The sequence below is a fragment of the Homo sapiens genome, chromosome 19 (assembly GCF_000001405.40).
Source record: "Homo sapiens chromosome 19, GRCh38.p14 Primary Assembly".
In the NCBI taxonomy this organism is placed as follows: Eukaryota; Metazoa; Chordata; class Mammalia; order Primates; family Hominidae; genus Homo; species Homo sapiens.
In genome coordinates this window covers 43,720,427-43,727,496 of record NC_000019.10, presented here as the reverse complement: position 1 = coordinate 43,727,496, position 7,070 = coordinate 43,720,427, and positions in this window count along the sequence as shown.

Sequence of the window (7,070 nt, the reverse complement as noted above, 5' to 3'; positions counted from 1 at the left end):
GCCTGGCCGGTCTGATGATGACCGTGGGTGCGGGTAGGGTGTAGGGTCCACAGCCATTTCTATCACAGCCATGCAGGCTGAGTTAGGGTCTTTATTTCGTAGCCTCTCATGATATTGACAGGTCAACTTGCCTGAGCCTGTGCCCTTGGTAGTGCCAGCGTGCAGCCTGCATTCTCCCGTGAACAAAGTGTGGCCTGCAACTTGGCAGCAACTGCTGGCAGATTCCCCATCTTGCGGGCCTCCGTCAGAGCCCTGGCTGCCTCTCACGACAGCATCAGTATCTTGAACTGGCTGAGGGCTGGCTGGGCTGTACTTGCCATGGGTTGCCTGACCCCTAGTTCTCCAGCTTCAGAACGTGGTGACCCTTAGCAGAACAGGGGAGGGAGTATTTTCACCCTGAGTTACCCATTCTCCAATCCCTCTGCATGCCTGTCATAAATGTGTTACAATATACTTGCTGCCTTGGCATCCACTTTTAGGCCTGACATACATTGTTTGAAACTCAACGAAACCTCATCACCTTGGCCTAGTAAAACTTCCCCTTCCCCTTGTGGCTTGCAGTTTAGCCCACTTGTTCCTCATCTCACCAATCCAAAATCCAACAACATCCTACAGTGGCTGACCATGGCCCTATGGGATGGTCAACATCAGAGCGATGTAAATAAGTTCCCCCTTCAAGCGTGTTTTCTTTAAAATAGCCAATCCACAACCACCATGGGAAAGCCTAAGGGAATACAGGCATAGGCCCACAGGTTGTTTTTTTTTTTTTTTTGAGACGGAGTCTAGCTCTGTTGCCCAGGCTGGAGTGCAGTGGCGCAATCTCGGCTCACTGCAACCTCTGGCCTCCCGGGTTCAAGTGATTCTCCAGCCTCAGTCTCCCGAGTAGCTGGGATTACAGGTGCCCGCCACCACCCCTGGCTAATTTTTTGTATTTTTAATAGAGATGGGGTTTCACTATATGTTGGCCATGCTGGTCTCGAACTCTTGACCTCAGGTGATCCACCCACCTTGGCCTCCCAAAGTGCTGGGATTACAGGTGTGAGCCACTGCACACAGCTCTCCATGACTGTTTGACACTATCTTTTGATTCCCTAAAAAATGTTTACAAGAATTTCCGCTAGATAATGCTGAACTGGCTGAACTATGGATATAGATGGATCGTATCTGAAAGATGACAATGGTAAAAACTGTGTAAGATATGTAGTTACCACTTCCTTCGAAGTTGCTGAAGCCGCCCCTTACCTGTGGCTACTTTTTTTTTTTTCTTTTGAGATGGAGTCTTGCTCTGTTGCCCAAGCTGGAGTACAGTGGCGCAATCTCAGCTCACTGCAACCTCTGCCCACTGGATTCAAGCAATTTTCCTGCCTCAGCCTCCCGAGTAGCTGGGATTACAGGCACCCACCACCATGCCCAGCTAATTTTTTTGTATTTTTAGTAGAGACAGGGTTTCGTCATGTTGGCCAGTCTTCCTGAACTCCTGACCTCAAGTAATCTGCCTACCTCGGCCTCCCAAAGTGCTGGGATTACAGGTGTGAGCTGCTGCGCCTGGCCCCTGTGGCTACTTTTGCACGAAAAGCTAAACTCACTGCCCTTGCTGGCCTCCTCGTGAAAGGGCAATCTGTTACTCTATACAGATAGTAGATATGCCTTTGGGGTTGCTCCTGATTTTGGACTGCTATGGAAATGAAGGGGTTTACTCACGTCCACTGGAGGTCAAATTAAAAATGGATCCTATGTACGGGACTTACTGGATGCCATCCAGCTGCCAGCTGCCTTGGCTATTATGGAAACTCCCGGACATTCAAGGTTAACCTCTGCGGAAGCTAGAGGAAACAGTCTTGGCTGATAATGCCGCAAAGGATGCTGCTGTTAAAGGTTCGGTTCCTCAAATCTCTCTTGAGGCCCAGCTAAAAGAGCCACCAAAAGGTGATCTAAAAATGATTACCAAAGATGCACAAAATTGGGCACCAGAAACGGAAGAACAAAATTGGAAAGATCACACTGCTAGTTCAATGATTTGAAAAAAAAAAAAAAAAAAAAAAAAAAGCTGTGTTTAAGGCCTGATAACCAGTTCTCTCCAAGTCAATATTCTTAACTACAGTACATAATCTGACCCACTGGGGAACTTACAAATTGTTTTATGAAACAATATTAGGGGGAGTGACATTAAAAGAAGCTGTACTGGCCAAGTGCAGTGGCTCTCGGGCCTGTAATCCCAGCACTCTGGGAGGCCGAAGGGGGCGGATTGCTTGAGTCCAGGAGTTCGAGACCAGCCTGGGCAACATAGGGAAATCGTGTCTCTACTAAAAATATCAAAATAAGTAGTTTCAACTACTGGGGAGGCTGAGGTGGGAGAGTCACCTGAGCCTAGGAGATCAAGGCTGCAGTGAGTGGAGATCGTGCCATTGCACTCCAGTCTGAGTGACAGAATGAGACCCTCTCTCAAAAAAAAAAAAAAAAAAAAAAAAAAAAGCTGCCAAAAAAAAAAAAAAAAGCCTATTTGGCACTTGTGCCACCTGCCGTAAGTTTAACTCAGGAAAATGTGTACATCCCGATCCTGGACATTTTAATCTACCTAATGGGCCCTTCAAGGTTTGGCAAATGGATTTTATCCAACTACCCACTTCCGTGTGTGTGTGTGTGTGTGTGTGTGTGTGTGTGTGTGTATATATATATATATATATATATATGTACTAGTAACAGTTTGCACATTCTCCTATTGGGTAGAGGCTTTCCTGGTAGACAAGCCACTGCTTCAGCTGTGGCCAAAATTCTCCTGGAAAAAAAGTATTCCCACCTAGGGAACTCCCCTTGAAGTACATCGTGATCAGGAGCCCATTTTACTGGCCATATAATAAAACAAGTGAGTTCAGTTTGGCCAATTTCTCAGCATTTCCACTGTCTACAATCCCCAATCTTCTGGCTCAGTGGAACAAACAAGGGGAACTATAAAAACCCAGTTGGATGGCCGGGCACAGTAGCTCACCCCTGTAACCCCAGCACTTTGGAAGGCTGAGGCAGGCAGATCACTTGAGATCAGGAGTTCAAGACCAGCCTGGCCAACATGGTGAAACCCCATCCCTATTAAAAATACAAAAATTAGCCAGGTGTGGTGGTACACGCCTATAATCCCAGCTACTTGGGAGGCTGAGGCAGGAGAATTGCTCAAACCCAGGGGACAGAGGTTGCAGTGAGCTGAGATCAAGCCGCTGCACTCCAGCCTAGGTGATAGAGTGAGACTCCATTTCAAAACAAAAAAACAAAAAACCCAGTTGGCAGAATTTATCTACACCTTCCTTGACCTAAGTTCCTCCTTTGGTATTATTAAATCTAAGGGCCACTCTCTTTGGGGCTCATAAACTTTCACCTTTGGAAATAGTCACAGGCCATCCTATGCACTTGGCCTCCTCTGCTTTTGACCCTTAATTGATAAAAGGAGACATATCCATCTGGGTGCAGTGGCTCACACTCGTAAAATCCTAACACTTTGGGAGGCTGAAGCAAGGGGATCGCTTGAGTCCAGGAGCTCGAGACCAGCTTGGGTAACATGGCAAAACCCTGTCTCTACAAAAACACAAAAATTAGCTGGGTGTAGTTGTGTGTGCACCTGTAGTCCCAGCTACTCGGGATGCTGAGACGGGACGATCACTTCAACCGGGAGGCAGAGGTTGCAATGAGCCAAGATCCCGCTACCGTACTCCAGCCTGGGCACCAGAGGGAGACACTGTCTCAAAACAAAAACAAAAAAACAAAAAAAAACAAAACAGACATACTTCAATATTAATAAAGCCTTACTAAGGTAAAGGCATTAATAAAGCAATGGATAGAAATCATATTTTGATAGAACAATCTTTCCACAGCACAATCATAGGAGACAAAGACCTACAACACCATGATCTGCAGCCTGGCGACTTTGTCTATTGGAAAAGACACGTACGCAAGAATTCTATCCAGCCTTACCAGAAAGAGCCACATTAAGTCCTTCTCACCAATCCCTGTGCTGCCAAACTAAAGGGCATTGACTTCTGTATCCACATCTTTCATATTTATTTATTTATTTATTTTTGAGATGGGGTTTTGCCCAGGCTGGAGTGCAGTGGCATGATCTCGGCTCACTGCCACTTATGCCCACTGGGTTCAAGCGATTCTCCTGCCTCAGCCTCCCAAGTAGCTGGGATTACAGGTGCCTGCCACCACGCCCAGCTAATTTTTGTGTTTTTAGTGGAGATGGAGATGGGGTTTCACCATGTTGGCCGGGCTGGTCTTGAACTCCTGACCTCAAGTAATCCGCCCACCTCGGCCTCCCAAAATGCTGGGATTACGGGCGTGAGCCACTGCGCCCAGCCTATTTTTTCTTTTTTTGAGATAGGATCTCATTCTGTCACCCAGGCTGGAGTGCAGTGGCACGATCATGGCCCATTACAGCCTTGACCTCTGAGGCCCAAGTGATCCTCCCACCTCAGCCTCCTGAGTAGCTAGGCCTACAGGCGCGTGCCACATGCCTGGCTAGTTTTTTGTATTTTTTGTAGAGACAGGGTCTCGCCATGTTGCCTAGGCTGGTCTCCAACTCCTGGGCTCAAGTGATCCTGCTGCCTCGGACTCCCTAAGTGCTGGGATTACAGGTATGAGCCCTGCGCCCAGCCACAAAGTCAAACTTTGAGACATACATGTTCAGATTCCCTGTTTCACCCCAAAAGTGACTGCAGTCTACAGAAAAGACATTGAAATTAGATCTTAAAACTGCCCAAAACCAGAATTTAACTAAATGCAAAAATACGCTGGGCATGGTCATTCATACCTGTAACCCCAGCACTTTGGGAGGCCAAAGCAGGAGGATCACTTGAAGCCAGGTGTTCAAGACCAGATTGGCCAACACAGTGAAACCCCGTTTCTACTAAAAGTACAAAAAAATTAGCCGGGCACGGTGGCTCATGCCTATAATCCCAGCAACTCAGGAGGCTGAGGTTGGAGAATCGCTTGAACCCGGGAGGTGGAGGTTGCAGTGAGCTGATATCATGTGACTGCACTCCATCCTGATGACAAAGTGAGACCTTGTCTCACAAAAAAAAAAAAAAAAAAAAGCAAAAATATTTATGCTCCTAATCCTTTAATTGTTGATGGTCTCCAGCAATGTCATAATTAGATAATAGAAGCTTGGGCAAATACTGGTTGACACCTCCCTACAACAGCCTGGGTAAGTTTTCTGTTCGTTTTTTTCAGACAGAGTCTTGCTCTGTCGCCCAGGCTGGAGTGCAGTGGCACAGTCTTGGCTCACTGCAACATCTGCCTCCCCAGTTCAAGCAATTCTCCTGCCTCAGCCTCCCAAGTAGCTGGGATTACAGGTGCCTGCCACCACGCCTGGCTAATTTTTGTATTTTTAGTAGAGACAGGGTTTCACCATGTTGGTCAGGCTGGTCTCGAACTCCTGACTTCAGGTGATCCACCGGCCTCAGCCTTCCAAAGTGCTGGGATTACAGGCATGAGCCACCACACCTGGCCGAGCAACTTAATCATTCTCTCAGTGCCAAATGTAAACAGTAAGAGAAGCTTCTTTTCCAGGGTGTTATGAACCAGGAGTACCTAGCAGTGATGAATAAATGTTAGCTAATATAAAGTACTTAGCCTTGCGTGTGGTTACACTCTCAGTATTATTATTGGTGATGCCTCAGACACTCTGGGCATTGTTATGACTTTTATTGTTATGGTTACTTTTTAATTTGGTCTTGAGCAGGGGAAAGTTAGGTTTGAGTGTGTCAAAGTGAAAAATAAAAATGTAGACATGAATCTCTAAACTTAGCTTTTTTTTTTTCTTTTCTTTTTTTGAGGCAGAGTCTTGTCACCCAGGCTGGAGTGCGGAGTCACAGTCTCAGCTCACTGTAACCTCCGCCTCCAGGTCTCAAGCGATTTTCCTGCCTTAGCCTCCCTAGTAGCTGGGACTATAGGCAGGCACCACCACACCAGCTAATTTTTGTATTTTTAATAGAGATGGGGTTTCTCCATATTGACCAGTCTGGTCAGAAAGCTCAACACATAGTTGCCCTCCCGTTAAGACCCAGGGCCTTTCAGCAGGTCCCAGTATTCACACGCGCACACCCCGACCCAATCCCACAGAGACAGGTGACCCCAGACTCAGCAAATGAGTCACAATCTTAGACTCACAGCATCAAAATCAAGAAGTCAAGGCTGAAGAGAGCTGTGATCACGCCACTGCACTCCAGCCTGGGCGACAGGGCAAGACCCTGTCTCTAAAAAAAATTTTTTTTAATCATGGAGAGACCAGGATTCTTCCCAATCACAGACACGCCAGATGTCTCAACACCATGTGCCTTCCTGCTCTGAGACACACCCGCCCTCCTTCTGGAGTAAGACTCATGCTAGGCCACGGAGTTGCATCGTCGGCCTCCTCTCTCCTCCGATGTTCATGGAAACATCCAGTCACTCTCTCACCATGCCATTCTCTGTCTTCTCAAGCACCACACGGAGGTGAGCCCTGTGGCCGCCTGGCCTCCCTCTCCCTGCCACCCCCTACCCCTCCATGGCTCCCAGGCAGCAGGCAGGCACGGATGCCCACTCTCCCCAACCTGTTTAGCCATTGCTGGACACCACTGTGCTCATCCCAGGCCCCTGGGGCTGTCTTTGGTACACTGGGTTCTCAGACACGGACATGAGATTGAAACTAAAGTACCTTAGCAGGGGCCAGGTGCAGTGGCTCACGCCTGTAATCCCAGCACTTTGAGAGGCCAAGGTCAGGAGTTCAAGACCAGCCTGGCCAACATGGTGAAACCCCCTCTCTACCAAAAATACAAAAATTAGCTGGACGTGTTGGCGTGTGCCTGTAATCCCAGCTACTTGGGAGGCTGAGGCAGGAGAATTGCTTGAACTCGGGAGGTGGAGGTTGCAATGAGCCAAGATTGTGCCACAGCACTCTAGCCTGGGCTCTGAGTCTCGAAAAAAAAAAAAAAATTAGCTGGGCTTGGTGGTGCTCACCTATAATCCCAGCTACTTAGGAGGCTGAGGCAGGAGAATTGCTTGAACCTGGGAGGCAGAAGCTGCAATGAGCCGAGATCGGG